Raw genomic sequence first — 20,647 nt, 5'->3', positions numbered from 1 at the left:
GTGTACTTGGGATATGTGTCATCTTAAATATAAATATTTAGGTGGGGTGCCATGGCTCACGTCAGTAATCCCAGCACTTTGGGAGGCTGAGGTGGGTGCATCACCTGAGGTCAAGAGTTCAAGACCAGCCTGGCCAAGATGGTAAAACCCAGTCTCTACTAAAAATACAAAAACTAGCCGGATGTGGTGGTGGGCGCCTGTAATCCCAGCTACTCAGGAGGCTGAGGCAGGAGAATCACTTGAACCCGGGAGCCAGAGGTTGCACCGAGACCGTGCCACTGAACTCCAGCCTGGGCAATAGAGTAAGACTGTCTCTCAAAAAAAAAAAAAAAGAATATATACTGGGGAAAGGACAGTTTCTTCAATAAAATGGTGCTCGGAAAACTGGCTGGCTATGTGCAGAAGAATGAAACTAGGCCCCTATCTCTCACCACACACAAAAATCAAATCAAAATGGATTACAAACCTAAATCTAAGATTTGAAACTATGAAACTCCTAGAAGGAAACTTTGGAGGCCGGGCGCGACGGCTCATGCCTGTAATCCCAGCACTTTGGAAGGTTGAGGCAGGCGGACTATTTGAGTCCAGCAGTTTGAGACTAGCCTAGGCAACATGGTGAAACCCCACATCTACAAAAATACAAAAATTAGCTGGGTGTGGTGGCTCGTGCCTGTAGTCCTAGTTACTCGGGAGGCTGAGGCACAAGAATCACTTGAGCCTGTTAGGCAGAGGTTGCAGTGAGCCCAGATTGCACCACTGCACTCCAGCCTGGATGACAGAGAGAGACCCTGTCGCAAAAATACAAACAAAAAAACAAAAAACCAAAGAGGCCGGGCGCAGTGGCTCAAACCTGTAACCCAGCACTTTGGGAGGCCGAGGTGGGAGGATCACCTGAGGTCAGAAGTTCAATACCAACCTGGGCTGGGTGTGGTGGCTCAAGCCTGTAATCCCAGCACTTTGAAAGGAGGCCGAGGCGGGCTGATCACGAGGTCAGGAGATCAAGACCATCCTGGCTAACACGGTGAAACCCCATCTCTACTAAAAATACAAAAAAAAAAAAAATTAGCCAGGCATGGTGCGGGCGCCTGTAGTCCCAGCTACTCGGGAGGCTGAGGCAGGAGAATGGCGTGAATCCGGGAGGCAGAGCTTGCAGTGAGCCGAGATCGCGCCACTGCACTCCAGCCTGGGTGACAGAGCAAGACTCTGTCTCAAAAAAAAAAAAAAAAACCAGCCTAGCCAACATGGCAAAACCACATTTCTACTAAGAACACAAAAATTAGCCAGGCACAGTAGTGGGTGCCTGTAATTCCAGCTACTGAGGAGGCTGAGGCAGGAGAATCACTTGAGCCGGGGAGGCAGAGGCTGCAGTGTGCTGAGATTGTGCCATTGCACTCCAGCCTGCATGACAGAGTGAGACTCTGCCTCAAAAAAAAACAAAAGAAACAAACAAACAAAAAAGAAGCCTGGGCGAGGTGGCTCACACCTGTAATCCCAGCACTTTGGGAGGCCAAGGCGGGCGGATCACGAGGTCAGGAGTTCGAGACCATCCTGGCCAACATGGTAAAACCCCATCTCTACTAAAATACAAAAAAATTAGCCTGGCGTGGTGGCGCACGCCTGTAGTCCCAGCTACTCTGGAGGCTGAGACAGTGGAATTGCTTGAACCCGAGAGGCAGAGGCTGCAGTGAGCCGATATCGCGCCACTGCACTCCAGCCTGGCAACAAAGCAAGACTCTGTTTCAAAAAAAAAAAGAAAAAAGAAAGAAAGAAGGAAAATAAGAAAACATTGGGAAAATGCTCAGATGTTGGTCTGGGCAAAGATTTTTTGTGCAAGGCCCCAAAAGCACAGGCAACAAAAGGAAAAATCAACAAATGGGATTACATCAAGCACTTTTTTTTTTTTAAGTCAGGGTATTGTTATATTACCCAGGCTGGCCTGAAACTTGTAGACTCAAGGGATCCTCCTGCCTCAGACTCCCAAGTAGCCGGGACTACAGGCACATGCCACAATGCCCAGCTTGGAAAAATGTTCTAAGGGTGCCCAGGCACCTTCTTCTCCAAAATGTGTTTCCTGAGTCTCAAGGACCGCCTTGTCCAATCAAAGACCACAGTATAATAATCAATCAATTGGACAATCAAATTAGATTCAAAACTGCACAAGATTAAGTCCCGGGCCTTGTTCAATGGGGTGTCCCGAGCTCCAGGCTCCAGGGACGGCCTGGAGGCCCTTGGTTGACCTGAGGTGGCAGTCTGTACAAGTGGAGGAGGAGGCAGGTCGACAGCGTCACCTGGAGGCCAGCTGGCAAACAGCCAAAGGTGAGAAAACTGTAACTGATTAACAAATCTAGAACTCGAGGCTGGGAGCGGTGGCTCACACCTGTAATCCCACCGCTTTGGGAGGCCGAGGCGGGCAGATCACTTGAGGTGTCAGGAGTTCACTACCAGCCTGGCCAAAATGGTGAAACGCAGTCTCTATAAAAATACAAAAATTAGCCGGGCATAATGGTGGGTTCCTGTAATCCCCACCATTGTAGTAATTGAGCTACTGGGAGAATTGCTTCAACCTGGGCAGAGGTTGCAGTGAGCCACAGAGCGAGATACCGTCTCAAAAAACAAAAAGAAAGAGATCGAGACCATCCTGGCCAACATGGTGAAACCCTGTCTCTACTAAAAATACAAACTGGGCGTGGTGGTGCGTGCCTGTAGTCAGAGCTACTCAGGAGGCTGAGGCAGCAGGATTGCTTGAACCTGGGAGGTGGAGGTTGAAATGAACCGAGATCTCGACAGAGCAAGACTTCGTCTCAAAACAAACAAACAAAAAGAATCTAGAACTTCGGCCGGGTGCAGTGGCTCACACCTGTAATCCCAGCTACTCAGGAGCCTGAGAGGCTTGAGAACCCCTTCACCCCATGGGTCGGAGGTTGCAGTGAGCCGAGACCACCCCATTGCACTCCAGCCTGGGCAACAGAGTGAGACTGTGTCTCAAACAAATAATAAATTTTGAAATTTTTGAAAAAAATCCGGGAGCCGTGATTCACACCTATAATCCCAGCACTTTGGGAGCCCGAGGCAGGTGGATCACTTGAGGTCAGGAGTTCGGGACCAGCCTGGCCAACATGGTGAAACCCTGTCTCTACGAAAAATACAAAAGTTAGCCAGACGTGGTGGTGCATGCCTGTAACCCCAGCTACTCAGGACGCTGAGGCATAAGAATTCCTTGAACCAGGAAGGCAGAAGTTGCAGTGAGCAGAGATCGCACCACCACTGCACTCCAGCCTATGCGACAGAGTGAGACCCTGTCTCAAAACAAACAAACAAAAAAAAGTAAATCAATTGGACAATCAAATTAGATTTGGAACTCCACAAAATTAGGTCCAGGGCCTTGCTCAAGGTAGTGTCCCAAGCTCCAGGCTCCCGGGGGCCTTGGTTTACCTGAGGTTGCACAGCCTGAACAAGCCAAGGAGTCAGTCGACAGCGCCACCTGGAGGCCAGATGGAAAACAGCCAAAGATTAGACCACTTTTTTTTTTTTTTTTTTTTTTTGAGATGGAGTTTTGCTCTTGTTGCCCAGGCAGGAGTGCAGTGGTGCGATTTCGGCTCACCGCAACCTCCGCCTCCCAGATTCAAGCGATTCTCCTGCCTCAGCCTCCCAAGTAGCTGGGATTACAGGCATGCGCCACCATGCCCGCCTAATTTTGTATATTTTGTAGAGATGGGGTTTCACCATGTTGGTTAGGCTGGTCTCAAACTCCCGACCGCAGGTGATCCTCCCACCTCAGCCTCCCAAAGTGCTGGGATTACAGGCGTGAGCCACCACGCCCGGAGAGACCACTCTTAATTCTAACTGGATGGCCAGGCGCAGTGGGCCACTATAGGTGGGTTTCACAGCGCCCAACTAATTTTTAATTTTTATTTATTATTATTATTATTATTTTTTTGAGATACAGTCTTGCTCTGTCGCCCAGGCTGGAGTACAGCGGCACAATCTCACCTCACTGCAACCTCCGCCTCCCGGGTTGAAGCAATTCTCTTGTGTGAGGGGAGTGGCTGCTTAGGAGAGGTAGAGAAAGTGGCAGGCCAGGCACAGTGGCTCACGCCTGTAATCCCAGCATTTTGGGAGGCCAAGGCAGATGGATCATTTGAGGTCAGGGGCTTGAGACCAGCCTGGCCAACATGGTGAAACCCCATCTCTACTAAAAATACAAAAATTAGCCAGGCATGGTGGCGCATGTCTGTAGTCCTAGCTACTCGGAAGGCTGAAGCAGGAAAATTGCTGTTCTGAACCCGGGAGGCAGAGATTGCAGTGAGCCAAGATCGCACCACTGCACTCCAGCCTGGGCAACAGAGCGAGACACTGTCTCAAAAAAAAAAAAAGAAGAAAGAGAAAAAGGAAGGAAGGAAGGAAGGAAGGAAACCAAAACTGGAAAGACAGAGGCAGTCTCTTTTTTCTTTTTCTTCTTTTTTGTTTTGGTTTGGTTTTCTGTCGTTGTTGTTGAGACAGTGTCTCACTTTGTTTCCCAGGCTGGAGTACCGTGGTCCCATTATAGCTCACTGCACCCTCGACCTCCTCCAATTGAACCTCCCACCTCAGCCTCCCAAGTAGCTGCGACCACAGGTGAGTGCCACCACACCTGGCTACTTTTTTTTTTTAAATCCCAGCACTTTGGGAGGCCAAGACGGGAGGATCACTTGAGTCCAGGAGTTTGAGACAAGGCTGGGCAACATAGTGAGACCTCACTTCTTTTTTTCTTTTTTTGAGACGAGGTTTCGCTCTGTGCAATGGTGTGATCTCGGCTCACTGCAACCTCCGCCTCCTGGGTTCAAGCGATTCTCCTGCCTCAGCCTTCTGGGTAGCTGAGATTACAGGCATGTGCCACCACGCCTGGCTAATTTTGTATTTTTAATAGAGACGGGCTTTCTCCATGTTGGTCAGGCTGGTCTTAAACTCCTGGCCTCAAATGATCCACCTGCCTTGGCCTCCCAAAGTGCTGGGATTATAGGTGTGAGCCACCATGCCCAGCCTGCCACACTCCTGTGGTCCCAGCTACTTGGGAGGTTGGGATGGGAGGATCTCTTGAGCCCAGGAGGTCGAGGCTGCAGTGAGCTATGAACACACCACTGCGCTCCAGCCTGGGTGACAGAGCCAGACCCTCTCTCAAATAAATAAATAAATAAAATAGAGATGGATCTCACTATGTTGCCCAGGCTGGCCTTAAAGTCCAGATTTCAAGCAATTCTCCCACCTGAGCCTACTTAGTAGCTAGGACTACAGGTGGGTGCCGCTGCACCCAACTAATTTTTATTTTTTACTTTTTATTTATTTATTTTTTGAGATACAGTCTTGCTCTGTCGCCCAAGCTGGAGTACAGTGGCATGATCTCACCTCACTGCAACCTCCGCCTCCCGGGTTGAAGCAATTCTCTTGTGTCAGCCTCCCGAGTAGCTGGGACTACAGGTGCCCGCCACCATGCCTCACTAATTTTTGTGTTTTTAGTAGAGATGGGGTCTCATCACATTGGCCAGGCTGGTCTCAAACTCCTGACCTCAAGTGATCCGCCCGCCTTGGCCTCCAAAAGTGCTGGGATTACAGGCGTGAGCCACCGCACCTAACCTTTTTTGTTTGTTTAAGAGACAGGGTTTTGGCCAGGCACGGCGGCTCATGCCTGTAATCCCAACACTTTGGGAGGCCAAGGCGCGTGGATAATCTGAGGTCAGGAGTTCGAGACCAGCCTGGCCAATGTGGTGAGACCCCCCCCCCCCCACCCCGCCCAACATCTCTACTAAAAACACAAAAATTAGCCGGGGGTGGTGGTGGGCATGTGTAATCCCAGTTACTCAGCGGGACTGAGGCAGGAGAATTGCTTGAACCAGGGAGGCAGAGGTTACAGTGATCCAAGATCACGCCATTGTACTCCAGCCTGTGTGACAATAGCAAAACTCTGGCTCAAAAAAAAAAAAAAAAGCCGGGCGTGGTGGCTCACAGCTGTAATCCCAGCACTTTGGGAGGCCAAGGCAGATGGATCACCTGTGGTCGGGAGTTTGAGACCAGCCTGACCAACATGGAGAAACCCCATCTCTACTAAAAAATACAAAATTAGCCAGGCGTGGTGGTGCATGCCTGTAATCCCAGCTACTCGGGAGGCTGAGACAGGAGGATTGCTTGAACCCGGGAGGCGGAGGTTGCGGTGAGCCGAGATCACACCATTGCACTCCAGCCTGGGCAACAAGAGTGAAACTCCGTCTCAAAAAAAAAAAAAGAGACAGGGTTTTGCTATGTTGCCCAACCTGGTCTCAAACTCCTGGCCTCAAAGGATCCAAGGGAGAAAGTTTCTGATCAGAAAAGTGTAAGAGTCAGGCCGGGCACAGTGGCTCATGCCTGTAATCCCAGCACTTTGGGAGGCCGAGGCAGGTGGGTCACTTGCGGTCAGGAGTTCAAGATCAGCCTGGCCAACATAGTGAAACCCCATCTCTATTAAAAATACAAAAATTGGCTGGACATGGTGGTGAGCACCTGTAATCCCAGCTTACTCAGGAGGCTGAGACAGGAGAATTGCTTGAACCCAGGAGGTGGAGGTTGCAGTGAGCCCTGATCCCACCCTGGCACTCCAATCTGGGCGACAGAGCAAGACTCCGTCTCAAAAGAAAATAAAGAGTCAGAAAGGCTCAAAAAGGCTCAATTACTTGTCCAATGTCATACAATTGTAAAAAGGATGAGACTTGAATCTATAACCGGTTGGTTTCTGGTTTCCATCCAGTCACACTTGCCATTTCCCTGAGGTGAGGACACGCCCCTGCTGGTTGAGACCTAGTTAACTTCTGCCACGTCCACCCCACCCCCGCCTCCGCCCCCTCCTAAATCGTGATCCAGAACAACAATCTCCAGGTCCTTGAACTTCAGGAGGTCCAAAGTTCAGGGTGGTTCAAGATATTGAAACCATCTCTTTCCCCTACCCGCCCCAGCCAGCCAGGGAGAGTTAGGTCCTGCTACCTCTGGAACCAAACCATGAATCCAAAGTCCCGTCAGTGGCTGGGTGCAGTGGCCCGTGCTTGTAATCCTAGCACTTTCGGAGGCTGAGGGGGGCAGATCGCCTGAGGCCAGAAGTTCAAGACCACCCTGGGCAACATGGCAAGACCCCATCGTTACAAAAATTAGCTAGGCATGGTGCCTCATGCCTGTAGTCCCGGCTACTTCGGAGGCTGAGGCGGGAGGATCACTTGAGCCTGGGAGGTGGAGACTGCAGTGAGCTATGACCACACCACTGCATTCCAGCCTGTGTGACAGAGTTAAGACTGGCAAAAAAAAAAAAAAAAAATTAGGCCAGGCACGGTGGGTCCCGCCTGTAATCCCAACACTTTGGGAGGCCGAGGTGGGTGGATAATTTGAGGTCGGGAGTTTGAGATCAGCCTGGCCAACATGGTGAAACCCCGCCTCTACTAAATATACAAAAATTAGCTGAGTGTGGTGGCAGGAGCCTGTAGTCCCAGCTACTCGGGAAGCTGAGGCAGGAGAATTGCTTGAACCCAGGAGGTAGAGGTTGCAGTGAGCCAAGATCATACCACTGCACTCCAGCCTGCACAACAAAAGTGAAACTCCATCCCAAAAAAAAAAATTTAAAAGAAAAAATAATTAACAATTAAAAAGAAAAGTCCAGGCCAGGCACGGTGACTCACACCTGCAATCTCAGTATTTTGTGAGGCCGAGGCGGGCGGATCTCTTGAGGACAGGAGTTCATGACCAGCCTGGCCAACATGGTGAAACCCCGTCTCTACTAAAAATACAAAAATTAGCTAAGCGTTGGCCAGGCGCAGTGGCTCACGCCTGTAATCCCAGCACTTTGGGAGGCCGAGGCGGGCGGACCACCTGAGGTCAGGAGTTCGAGACCAGCCTCAACATGGAGAAACCCTGTCTCTACTAAAAATACAAAATTAGTCGGCCATGGTAGTGCATGCCTGTAATCCCAGCTACTCGGGAGGCTGAGGCAGGAGAATTGCTTGAACCTGGGAGGCAGAGGTTGCAGTGAGCCGAGATCACGCCATTACGCTCCAGCCTGGGCAACAAGAGCAAAACTCCATCTCAGAAAAAAAAAAAAAAAATTAGCTGAGCGTGGTGGCAGGTGCCTGTAATCCAAGCTACTAGGGAGGCTGAGGTAGGAGAATCGCTTGAACCCAGGAGGCAGAGATTGCAGTGAGCCGAGATTGCACCACTGCATTCCAGCTGGCCCACAAAGCGAGCCCTTGTCTCAAAAAAAAAAAAAAAAAAAAAAGAAAGAAAATTCCAGTTAGTGGGTGGACAGCTACAGCTCTCCTCCCCACCTCGGCTCTTCTAAGACTTCTCTCTGCCTTGCTGTGGGTCCACAGTGGCCCTGGGGGTTTCCACCTGCTGGGCAGAGGAAATAGGTGTGATGTGTTGTCTCTGGAGGCACAGTAGTGTTAAACCAGAGCCTCCCAATGGAAATCCAAAGTATGCCACATTTAAAATTTCTAGCCTGATGCAGTGGGTTACAACTGTAATCCCAACATTTTGAGAGGCCGAGGTGAGCAGATTGCTTGAACTCAGGAGTTCAAGACCAGCCTGGACAAAAAAGTGAAACCCCATCTCTGCTGGGCACAGTGGATTACGCCTGTAATCCCAGCGCTTTGGTATACCGAGGCGGGCAGATCACCTGAGGTCGGGAGTTCGAGACCAGCCTGACCAACATGGAGAAACCCCGTCTCTACTAAAAATACAAAATTAGCCAGGTGTGGTGGCACATGCCTGTAATCCCAGCTACTTGGGAGGCTGAGGCAAGAGAATCGTTTGAACCCGGGAGATGGAGGTTGCAGTGAGCCGAGATTGCGCCATTGCACTCCAGCCTGGGTGACAAGAGGGAAACCTCATCTCTACAAAAAATACAAAATTTAGCCAGGCGTAGTGGTGTGTGCTTTTAGTCGCAGCTTCTCAGGAGGCTGAGGTGGCAGGATCGCTTGAGTGTGGGAGGTAGAGATTGCAGTGAGCTGAGATGGTGCCACTGAACTCTAGCCTGGGTAACAGAGTCAGACACTGTCTCAATAAATAAATAAACAAACAAACAAAATGTTCTAGTAGTCACATTAAAGAAAGTAAAAAGAGCCAGGCGCAGTGGCTCACGACTGTAATTCCAGCATTTTGGGAGGCCGAGGTGGGCAGATCATCTGAGGTCAGGAGTTCAAGACCAGCCTGGAGAACATGGTGACACCCCGTCTCTATTAAAAATAGAGGCTGGGCGCGGTGGCTTACGCCTGTAATCCCAGCACTTTGGGAGGCCAAGGCGGGTGGATCACAAGGTCAGGAGATCGAGACCATCCTGGCTAACACGGCGAAACCCTGTCTCTACTGAAAATACAAAAAAATTAGTTGTGGAGGGCGCCTGTAATCCCAGCTACTCAGGAGGCTGAGGCAGGAGAATGACATGAACCCGGGAAGCAGAGCTTGCAGTAAGCCAAGATCGCTCCACTCCACTCCAGCCTGGGCTACAGAGCAAGACCCCGTCTCAAAAAAAAAAAAAAAAAAAGAAAGAAAAGAAAAAATTAGCCTGGCATGGTGGCACATGCCTGTAATCCCAGCTACTTGGGAGGCTGAGGCAGGAGAATTGCTTGAACCCAAGAGGCGGAGGTTGCAGTGAGTCGAGATCGAGCCATTGCAATCCAGCCTGGGCAACAAGAGTGAAACTCTGTCTCAAAAAAAAAAAAGAAAGTAAAAAGAGGCTGGGCCCAGTGGCTCATGCCTATAATCCAGGCACTTTGGGAGCCCAAGGCAGGCAGATCACCTGAGGTCAGAAGTTCGAGACCAGCCTGGCCAACATGGTGAAACTCCGTCTCTACTAAAAATACCAAATTAGCCAGGCTTGGTGGCAGGTGCCTGTAATCCCAGCTACTTGGGAGGCTGAGGCAGGAGAATCACTTGAACCCGGGAGGTGGAAGTTGCAGTGAGCCAAGATCATGCCATTGCACTCCAGCCTGAGGGAGAAGAGCAAGACTCTGTCTCAAAAAAAATTTTAAAAAGCCTGGCCGGGTGTGGTGGCTCATGCCTGTAATCCCAGCACTTTGGGAGGCCCAGGCGGGTGGATCACCAGAGGTCAAGAGTTTGAGACCAGCTTGACCAACAAGGTGAAACCCGTCTCTACTAAAAATTCAAAAATTAGCCAGGCGTGGTGGCAGGTGCCTGTAGTACCAGCTACTCAGAAGGCTAAGACAGGAGAATTGCTTTAACCTGGGAGGCAGAGGTTGCAGTGAGCTGAGATCGTGCCACTGCACTCCAGCCTGGGTGACAGAGCAAGACTCCATCTCAAAAATAAAAAAATAAATACAAATACAAAAAATTAGCCGGGTGTAGTGGCAGGCCCCTGTAATCCCAGCTACTTGGGAGGCTGAGGCAGAAGAATTGCTTGAACCCAGGAGACAGAGGTTGCAGTGAGCCAAGCTCGCGCCATTGCTCTCCAGCCTGGGCGACAGAGCGAGACAAGAAAGAAAGAAGAAAGAGAGAAAGAGAGAGAGAGAGAGAGAAAGAAAGAGAAAGAGAGAGAGAGAGAGAGAAAGAAAGACAGGAAGGAAGGAAGGGAGGGAGGTAAGCAAGGAAGGGAGGGAGGGAAGGAAGGAGGAAGGGAGGGAGGGAGAGAGGGAGGAAAGGAAGGGAGGTGAAATTCACATAGCATAAAATTGTTTAAAATGTACAATTCTGAGGCATTCAGTACATTCACAATGTAATACAACCACCACCTGCATCTAGTTTCAGAATATTTTCATCACTCCACCTGTAATCACACGTACTCAGAAGGCTGAGGCGAGAGAATTGCTTTCCCTCAGGAGTTAGAGACCAGCCTCGGCAACATAGTGAGACCCCATCTATAAAAAATTTTTTTGGCTGGGCGTGGTAGCTCACACCTGTAATCCCAGTGAGAGGTGACAGCGTGCTGGCAGTCCTCACAGCCCTCCCTCGCTCTCAGCGCCTCCTCTGCCTGGGCTTCCACTTTGGCGGCACTTGGGGAGCCCTTCAGCCCACCGCTGCACTGTGGGAGCCCCTTTCTAGGCTGGCCAAGGCCGGAGCCCACTCCCTCAGCTTGCAGGGAGAGGCGCGAGCGGGAACCGGGGCTGCGTGCGGCGCTTGCGGGCCGGCTGGAGTTCCGGGTGGGCGTGGGCTTGGCGGGCCCTGCACTTGGAGCAGCCGGCTGGCCCGCCCCACCGGCCCCGGGCAATGAGGGGCTTAGCACCCGGGCCAGCAGCTGCAGAGGGTATACTGGGTCCCCCAGCAGCGCCAGCCCACCGGCGCTGCGCTCAATTTCTCGCCGGGCCTTAGCTGCCTTTCCGTGGGGCAGGGCTCGGGACCTGCAGCCCGCCATGCCTGAGCCTCCCACCCCCTCCGTGGGCTCCTGTACCGCCCGAGCCTCCTCGACGAGCGCCACCCCCTGCTCCACGGCGCCCAGTCCCATCCGACCACCCAAGGGCTGAGGAGTGCAGGCACACGGCGCGGGACTGGCAGGCAGCTCCACCTGCAGCCCCGGTGCAGGATACACTGGGTGAAGGCAGCTAGGCTCCTGAGTCTGGTGGGGCCTTGGAGAACCTTTATGTCTAGCTCAGGGATTGTAAATACACCAATCGGCACTCTGTATCTAGCTCAAGGTTTGTAAACACACCAATCAGCACCCTGTGTCTAGCTCAGGGTTTGTGAATCCACCAATCGACACTCTGTATGTAGCTACTCTGATGGGGCCTTGGAGAACCTTTATGTCTAGCTCAGGGATTGTGAATACACCAATCAGCACTCTGTATCTAGCTCAAGATTTGTAAACACACCAATCAGCACCCTGTGTCTAGCTCGGGCTTTGTTAATGCCCCAATGGACACTCTGTATCTAGCTAATCTGGTGGGGACGTGGAGAACCTTTGTGTCTGGCTCAGGGATTGTAAACGCACCAATCAGCGCCCTGTCAAAACAGACCACTGGGCGCTACCAATCGGCAGGATGTGGGTGGGACCAGATGAGAGAATAAAGGCAGGCTGTCCCAGCTGGCAGTGGCAACGCGTTCCAGTCCGTTTCCACACTGTGGAAGCTTTGTTATTTTGCTCTTTGCAATAAATATTGCTACTGACCACTCTTTGAGTCCACACTGCTTTTATGAGCTGTAACACTCACCGCAAAGGTCTGCAGCTTCACTCCTGAAGCCAGGGAGACCACCAGCCCACCGGGAGGAACAAACAACTCCAGATGCGCCGCCTCAAGAGCTGTGACACTCACTGCAAAGGTCTGCAGCTTCACTCCTGAGCCAGCGAGATCACGAACCCACCAGAAGGAAGAAACTCCGAACACATCCAAACGTCAGAAGGAACAAACTTCAGATTTGCCCCCTTAAGGGCTGTAACACTCACTGCGGGGGTCCGCGGCTTCATACTAGAAGTCAGTGAGACCAAGAACCCACCAACTCCGGACACACCAGCACTTTGGGAGGACAAAGCAGGCGAATCATTGGCGGTCAGGAGTTCGAGACCAGCCTGGCCAACATGGTGAAACCCCATCTCTACTAAAAATACAAAAATCAGCCAGGCATGGTGGCACGTGCCTGTGATCCCAACTACTATGGAGGCTGTGGCATGAGAATCACTTGAACCCAGGAAGCAGAGGTTGTAGAGAGCCAAGATTGTGTCACTGCACTCCAGCCTGGGCAACAGAGCAAGACTGTCTCAAAGAAAAAAAAATTTTTTTTTTTTCTGAGATGGAGTTTTGCTCTTGTTGCCCAGGCTGGCGGGCAATGGCGTGATCTCGGCTCACTGCAACCTCCGTCTCCCGGGTTCAAGTGATTCTCCTGCCTCAGCCTCCCAAGTAGCTGGGATTACAAGCGTCCGCCACCATGCCTGGCTAATTTTTTTATTTTTAGTAGAGACCGGGGTTTTGCTATGTTGGCCAGGCTGGTCTCAAACTCCTGACCTCAGGTGATCCAGCCACGTCAGCCTCCCGCAGTGCTGGGATTACAGGCATGAGCCACCGAACCTGGCTGATATATATATACGTATACGTATACACACGTATGTATGCATATACACACGTATGTATGCGTATACACACGTATGTATGCGTATACACACACGTATGTATGCGTATACACACACGTATGTATGCGTATACACACACGTATGTATGCGTATACACACACGTGTATATATACACGCACGTATATATACACATACACGTATATATACACATACACATGTATATATACACATGTATATACATATATATACACATATATACATATATATATATTTTTTTAGCTGGACACAGTGGCTCACCTCTGCAGTCCCATTGTTTTGAGAGGCAGAGTCAGAATTGCTTGAGCCCAGGATTTCAAGGCTACAGTGTGTTTATTTTATTTTTATTTACTTTTATTTATTTATTTTTTTGATATAGAGTCTCGCTCTGTTGCCCAGGCTAGAGTGCAGTGGCGTGATCTTGGCACACTGCAGGCTCCGCCTCCCGGGTTCACGCCATTCTCTTGCCTCAGCCTCCTGAGTAGCTGGGACTACAGGCTCCCGCCACCACGCCCGGCTAATTTTTTGTATTTTTAGTAGAGACGGGGCTTCACCATGTTAGCCAGGGTGGTCTCTATATCCTGACCTCATAATCCGCCCACCTCGGCCTCCCAAAGTGCTGGGATTACAGGCGTGAGCCACCACGCCAGGCCTGCAGTGTGTTTATTTTTAAAAATAAAATTAATACGAGGCCGGGAGCAGTGGCTCACGCCTGTAATCCTAGCACTTTGAGAGGTTGAGGCGGGCAGATCACCTGAGGTCGGGAGTTCAAGACCAGTCTGGCCAACAACGTGGTGAAACCCTGTCTCTAGAAAAATAAAAAAAACAATTAGCCGGGCATGGTGGGGGGTGCCTGTAATCCCAGCTACTCCGGAGGCTGAGGCAGGAGAATTGCTTGAACCCGGAAGAGGGAGGTTGCGGTAAGCCGAGGTTGTGCCATTGCACTCCAGCCTGGGCAACAAGAGCAAACCTCCGTCGAAAAAAAAAAAATTAATACAATAATACACATAAAAATAAATTAGCCCAGCATGGTGCATGCCCATAGTCCCAGCTGCTCTAGAGGCTGAAGTGGGAGGATTGCTTGAGCCCAGGAGTTTGAGGCTGCATTGAGCAATAGTCATGCCACTGGACTCCAGCCTGGGAGACAGAGCAAGACCCCATCTCTAATAAATAAATAAATAGGAAAAGGCCATGAATGTGTCCCTCTGGGAGGAGGCGGGTGCCTCAGAATCCTGCAGGAGTTACCAGCTGTTAAGCGAGGTCACTGCATAAGCCTGGGGGGCTATCACCGGCCCTCAGCTCCCTGTGGGAACTCCTGAGTTGGGGGCCACCCACAGGGCTTCTCATGGGGTGCAGAGCTGGGCAGGGATGGGGGAGGGCAGCTTAGGCAGCGAGCACCCAGGGTCCACTGGGACCAGCCCAACAGGGCTTCTCAGGGAGACGCTCCCAGCATCTCAGGGAGGACCCCTTCAGGCCTTGCTCTGAACCATTCATCCTGGTGAGGACCCAGCAGTGGAGGTGGAGAGAGTATGCTTTATTTATTATATTTACTTTGATTTGTTTTAAGATGGAGTCTAGCTCTGTTGCCCAGGCTAGAGTGTAGTGGCGGGATCTTGGCTCACTGCAACCTCTGCCTCCCAGGTTCCAGCGATTCTCCTGCCTTAGCCTCCTGAGTAGCTGGGATTACAGGGACCTCCCAACATCATGCCCGGCTAATTTTTGTATTTTTAGTAGAGACGGGGGTTTCACCATGTTGGCCAGGCTGGTCTCGAACTCCTGACCTCAAGTGATCTGCCCACCTCAGCCTCCCAAAGTGCTGAGATTACAAGTGTGAGCCACCATGCCCGGCTTTATTTATTTATTTATTTAATTTATTTTTTGAGATGGAGTCTCGCTCCATCGCCCAGCCTGGAGTGCAGTGGTGCGATCTCGGCTCACTGCAAGCTCCGCCTCCCAGGTTCATGCCATTCTCCTGCCTCAGCCTCCCGAGTAGCTGGGACTACAGGCGCCCGCCACCACACCTGGCTAATTTTTTGTATTTTTAGTAGAGATGGGGTTTCACCGTGTTAGCCAGGATGGTCTCGATCTCCTGACCTCGTGATCCATCTGCCTCGGCCTCCCAAAGTGCTGAGATTACAGGCGTGAGCCACCGCGCCCGGCCTATTTATTTATTTTTTAGTCAGGATCTCTCTGTCACCCAGGCTAGTGCAGTGGCACGAGCATAGCTCACTGCAACTTCGATCTTCTGGGCTCAAGCAATCCTCCCTCCCCAGCCTCCCAAGTAGCTGGGACTACAGGTATCAGCCACTGCACCCAGCTAAGTAAAATATATATATATTTGTAGGGCTGGGCACAGTGCCTCCCGCTTGTAATCCCAGCACCTTGTGAGGCCGAGGGGGGCAGATCACCTGAGGTCAGGAGTTCAAGACTAGCCTGACCAACATGGTGAAACCTCATCTCTACTAAAAATACAAAATTAGCTGGGCGTGGTGGCACAAGCCTGTAATCCCAGCTACTCAGGAGACTGAAGCAGGAGAAAAAATATGTATATATATAATCGCTATATATATATAATCGCTATACATATATATATACACATAATCGCTATATATATATATATATATGTAAAGATGGGGTCTCACTATGTTGCCTAGGCTGGTCTTGAATCCCTGAGCTCCAGTGACCCTCCCACCTCAGCCTTCCAACCTCAGCTTCCTCCAACCTCAGTGTTGAGAATATAGGTGTGAACCATGGTGCCAGTGTCTTAAAATATAGCTCTGCAACACCTGACACTGCAGGGCTATGGCCCCGGGCTGCATGCCGTCAGTGCCAATGGAAGGAAGCTAACAGCCACCCCTGACCCGACTATCCTCCCTCGGCGCCGGGGTTTCAGACGCCTCCGCCTCTTGGTCCCTTCCTTCAAAGCCTCAAACAGCCCACTGACAGGCCCAGGCTCAGAGGTCCAGGCTTTCTGTAAATGTGAGATATAAAAAGAACCGTGGGGTAGAAATGGCCCCCAGCTTGCTAACACATGCCACCCCCACGCTGCCCACAGCACCACAAACACCCCCCCACACACAGATGTGCGCTCGTGCGCCTACATGCAGACACACGGTGACAAGCCCGCATTTAGAATCAGGGAGAAGGAGGCCAGCCAGCTGGGAGGAAGCCAAGCCTGACTTTATGAGGAAGGCCTCTCTCCTCAGGCAGAGCTGGCCCCTGGAAATGGTAAATCCTGTGGCTTCCCTAGCTAAAGTGGGTCAAGCCTACACTAGGAATTCACCTCCTAGCAAGGACACAAGGACACTGTTAGGCCCTGGCTACCAGGCCCTGGCAGGACTCAGCCCAAGACCGGCCTTTCTGGACTTTTTTTTTTTTTTTTTTTTTTTTTTGCAGACAGGGTCTTGCTCTGTCACCCAGGCTGGAAAGCAGTGGCACGATCATAGCTCACTGCAGCTGCAGCCTTGACCTCCTGGGATCAAGCGACCCTCCTGCCTTGGCCTCCCAAAGTGCTGGGATTGAGAGCCCCCTTCCCCAGGCCTTCCCAGGCTTTGTTACTTTTTATTTTTATTATTATTATTTTTTAAGTCTCGTTCTGTCTCCCAGACAGACAGTGGTGCCATCTCAGCTCACTGCAACCTCCGCCTTCTGGGTTCAAGCGATTCTCCTGCCTCAGCCTCCTGAGTAGCTGGGATTACAGGCACCTGCCACCACGCCCAGCTAATTTTTGTACTTTTAGTAGATACAGGGTTTCACCGTGTTGGCCAGGCTTGTCTTGAACCCCTGACCTCAGGTGATCTGCCCGCCTCGGCCTCTGAAAGTGCTGGGATTACAGGCATGAGCCACCGCACCGGGCCCTTCCCAGGCTTTGAACGCACATGCAGGACGGCCAAGAATGTGACCATGGAGCCTCCACACCTCCCGTCCCTCCGTCCCACCTTCTCCTGGCCACATGGCTACACTTCTGCCTGGGGAGCCCATCTCTCTGTGCCCACTTCTCTGCCTCCAAAGACCCTTCTTCTTCTCTCTCAGTGTCTGCAGCCCCTACTCAGCCAGCCCCCTGAGATCTCGGCTCATGCACCCAACCCCACCTGCAGCCCAAGAGCTCCCTACACCCACCCAGAGCCACGAGGCATTCATCTCCTGCCTCAGCCCATCTATCCTCCCCAGCAGCGGACTGCATCCTTTGCCCACCCATTTGGAATTTTCTGCCGTTCCTTCAACTGTATTTTGAGCATCAGCTGAGGATCAAGCACAGGCCTGGGAGCTGGGAGTGCACAGTGCTGAGGAAGAAGGATCCTGTTCCAGCCCTCAAGGGCTCACCATCAGATGGGGGAGGATCAATCAGCCCAGCCTACATCAACAAACCAAAAAGAGGCCAGGCGTGGTGGCTCACATCTGTAATCCCAGCACTTTGGGAGGCCGAGGCGGGCAGATCACCTGAGGTCAGGAGTTTGAGACCAGCCTGGCCAGCATGGTGAAACCCCATCTCTACTAAAAATACAAAAATGAGCCAGGCATGGTGGTAGGGGCCTGTAATCCCAGCTGCTCAGGAGGCTGAGGCAGGAGAATCTCTTGAACCCGAGAAGCAGAGGCTGGATTGAGCCGAGATCACACCACTGCACTCCAGCCTGGATGACAGAGCGAGACTGTGTCCCAAAAAAAAAAAGGAAAGCTCACTGGCTTAGAGACAGGAAGTAGAACAGTAGAAGGGGCTGGGGGTGTGCAGAGAATATTGATTTGATGTTTAACAGAGGTTGAGTTTCAGTTTGGGATGATGAAAGTATTCTGGGCCAGGCAAGGTGGCTCACGCCTGTAATCCCAGCACTTTCGGATGCCGAGGCGGGTAGATCACCTGAGGTCGGGAGTTCGAGACCAGCCTGGCCAACATGGGGAAACCCCATCTCTACTAAAAATACAAAAATTAGCCAGGCATGGTGATAGGTGCCTCCACACCCAGCTACTCGGGAGGCTGAGGCTCAAACATCGCTTGAACCCGGGAGGCAGAGGTTGCAGTGAGCTGAGATAGCATCACTGCACTCCAGCCTGGGAAATAGAGCAAAACTCTGTCTCATAAAAATATATAATAATAATAATAAAGCACTGATCCATGCTGCAACATGCATTAACCACCACCCACCCCCCCACCAAAAAAAACAACAACAAAAAAAACCCATGATGGCAGGCTGGGCGCAGTGGCTCATGCCTGTAATCCCAGCACTTTGAGAAGTCCAGGTAGGAGCATGGCTTGAAGCCAGTTCAACACCAGCCTGGGCAACAAAGCAAGACCCTGTGGTTTTTTTTGAGACACAGTCTTGCTCTGTTGCCCAGGCTGGAGTGCAGTGGCACAATCTCGGCTCACTGCAAGCTCTGCCTCCCGGTTCATGCCATTTTCCTGGCTCAGCCTCCCAAGTAGCTGGGACTACAGGTGCCCGCCACCACGCCTGGCTAATTTTTTTGTATTTTTAGTAGAGACGGGGTTTCACCGTGTTAGCCAGCATGGTCTCGATATCCTGACCTCGTGATCCGCCCACCTCGGCCTCCCAAAGTGCTGGGATTACAGGCGTGAGCCACCGCATCCAACCAAAAAAAAAAAAAAAAAGGTTTTATTAGCCAGGCATTGTGGTACACACCTATAGTCCCAGCTACTCAGGAGGCTGAGGCAGGAGGATTGCTTGAGCCCAGGAGGTTGAGGCTGCAGTGAGCTATTTTCACACCACTGCACCCCAGCCCAGGCAACAGAGTGAGACTGTTTCTAAAAATAAAAATTTTTAAAAATCATGCTGAGTGAAAGAAGCCAGACACAAAAGGCCACACAGTAGATTATTCCATTGATATGAAATGTTCAGAATAGTCAAATCCACAGAGACAGAAAGTAGATGGGTGGGTGCCAGGGGCTGCTGGGAGGGGGAATGGGGAGTGAGTATTTAATGAGGACAGTGTTTCAGTTTTCCAAGATGAAAGCGTTCTGGAGATGGATGGTGGCGACGGCTGCACAACAATGTGGATGTTCGAAATGTCACCGAAATGTTCTCTTTAAAATGGTTAATTTTGAAATGAAGCATGGAATGAGGAAAAAAGGTTTTTTTTAAAGTAAAAAAAAAAAAGGCCAAGCACAGTGGCTCACGCCTGTAATCCCAGCACTTTGGGAGGCCGAGGCAGGTGGATCACCTGCAGTCAGGAGTTCGAGACCAGCCTGGCCAACATGGCAAAACCCAAAAAATAGCCGGGCGTGATGGTGGGCGCCTTGTAGTCCCAGCTACTTGGGAGGCTGAGGCAGGAGAATCGCTTGAATCCGGGAGTCAGAGTTTGCAGTGAGCCAAGATTGTGCCACTGAACTCCAGCCTGGTGACAGAGTGAGACTCGGTCTCAAAAAAAAAAAAAAAAAAAAAAAAGGCCAGGCACGGTGGCTCACCCCTGAAATCCCAGCACTTTGGGAGGCCAAAGTGGGCGGATCACAAGGTCAGGAGTTCGAGACCAGCCTGGCCAATATAGCGAAACCTTGTCTCTACTAAAACTACAAAAATTAGCCGGGCGTGGTGGCAGGAGCCTGTATCCCAGCTACTCGGAAGGCTGAGGCAGGAGAATCACTTGAACCCAGGACGCAGAGCTTGCAGTGAGTGGAGATCACGCCACTGCACTCCAGCCTGGGCAACACAGCGAGACTCCGTCTCAAAAAATAAACAAAAAAAAAACAAAAAGAAAAGAAAGAAAAGTGCACTGGTCATGCTGAGAAAAGGAGATAAGAGAGGTGGGGGACCAACTAAGGGAGCTCAGGGTACATCTCCAGACCCAAGACAATGAAAGAGATGGAGCCTGGTGCAAACAGTGATGGTGGACAGGAGCAGAGAAATGCAGAGACAGCAGATGGGCCTGGGGGACCGGTTAGGGGGAGGTGACCCATGGAATAGATCTGTCCCATCCACTAGGAGATGGGATGGGGGGGAGCTTGCTTGCTTATTTTTTTTCTTTCTTTCTCTCTCTTTTTTCTTTTTTGAGACAGTCTCGTTCTGTCCCCCAAGCTGGAGTGCAGTGGCGCGATCTCGGCTCACTGCAACCTCCACCTCCTGGGTTCAAGTGAGTCTCCTGCCTCAGTCTCCCAAGTAGCTGAGACTACAGGTGCGTGCCACCACACACGGCTAATTTTTTTGGTATTTTTAGTAAAGATGTGGTTTCACCATGTTGGCCAGACTGGTCTTGAACTCCTGGCCTCAAGTGATCCACCCGCCTCAACCTCCCAAAGTGCTAGGATTACAGGTGTGAGCCACCGCGCCCCGCCTCTTTCTTTTTTATTTTCTCTCTCTGTCTCTCTTTCTTTCCTTTTATTTATTTATAATTATTTATTTATTTATTTATTTATTTATTTATTTATTTTTTGAGACAGAGTCTCCCTCTGTCACCCAGGCTGGAGTGCAATGGCATGATCTTGGCTCACTGCAACCTCCACCTCCTGAGTTCAAGTGATTTTCGTGCCTCAGCCTCCCAAGTAACTAGGATTATAGACATGCACCACCATGCCCAGCAAATTTTTGTATTTTTAGTAGAGACAGGGTTTTGCCAAGTTAGCCAGGCTGGTCTTGAACTCCTGACCTCAGGTGATCTGCCTGCCTC

At 51.0% G+C, this 20,647-nt stretch overlaps 6 annotated features.

Annotated features, from left to right (window-relative positions):
* Positions 6,561-7,061: a transcriptional cis regulatory region, noted in NCBI's record as "intergenic|chr19:13301925-13302425 region (GRCh37/hg19 assembly coordinates) targeted for CRISPR interference". NCBI's record gives its function as "negatively regulates PRDX2 gene expression in K562 cells {active_cell/tissue: K562}" and the evidence as "EXISTENCE:mutant phenotype evidence [ECO:0000015][PMID:31784727]".
* Positions 10,091-11,001: an enhancer, noted in NCBI's record as "H3K27ac-H3K4me1 hESC enhancer chr19:13297985-13298895 (GRCh37/hg19 assembly coordinates)". NCBI's record gives its function as "activates a minimal SCP1, AML or CMV promoter by ChIP-STARR-seq in primed H9 embryonic stem cells {active_cell/tissue: H9 hESC(primed)}" and the evidence as "EXISTENCE:reporter gene assay evidence [ECO:0000049][PMID:30033119]".
* Positions 11,002-11,912: an enhancer, noted in NCBI's record as "H3K27ac-H3K4me1 hESC enhancer chr19:13297074-13297984 (GRCh37/hg19 assembly coordinates)". NCBI's record gives its function as "activates a minimal SCP1, AML or CMV promoter by ChIP-STARR-seq in primed H9 embryonic stem cells {active_cell/tissue: H9 hESC(primed)}" and the evidence as "EXISTENCE:reporter gene assay evidence [ECO:0000049][PMID:30033119]".
* Positions 11,903-12,197: an enhancer, noted in NCBI's record as "tiled region #13602; HepG2 Activating non-DNase unmatched - State 18:Pol2, and K562 Activating DNase matched - State 18:Pol2". NCBI's record gives its function as "activates a minimal TATA promoter and a strong SV40 promoter by Sharpr-MPRA in HepG2 cells, with weak activation in K562 cells {active_cell/tissue: HepG2 | K562}" and the evidence as "EXISTENCE:reporter gene assay evidence [ECO:0000049][PMID:27701403]".
* Positions 12,826-13,327: an enhancer, noted in NCBI's record as "OCT4 hESC enhancer chr19:13295659-13296160 (GRCh37/hg19 assembly coordinates)". NCBI's record gives its function as "activates a minimal SCP1, AML or CMV promoter by ChIP-STARR-seq in naive H9 embryonic stem cells {active_cell/tissue: H9 hESC(naive)}" and the evidence as "EXISTENCE:reporter gene assay evidence [ECO:0000049][PMID:30033119]".
* Positions 16,169-16,228: an enhancer, noted in NCBI's record as "active region_14124". NCBI's record gives its function as "activates an Ori minimal core promoter by ATAC-STARR-seq in GM12878 lymphoblastoid cells {active_cell/tissue: GM12878}" and the evidence as "EXISTENCE:reporter gene assay evidence [ECO:0000049][PMID:35858748]".

Source organism: Homo sapiens, chromosome 19 (assembly GCF_000001405.40).
Source record: "Homo sapiens chromosome 19, GRCh38.p14 Primary Assembly".
Classification (NCBI taxonomy): domain Eukaryota; kingdom Metazoa; phylum Chordata; class Mammalia; order Primates; family Hominidae; genus Homo; species Homo sapiens.
This window is presented reverse-complemented; position numbering and strand designations above follow the sequence as displayed.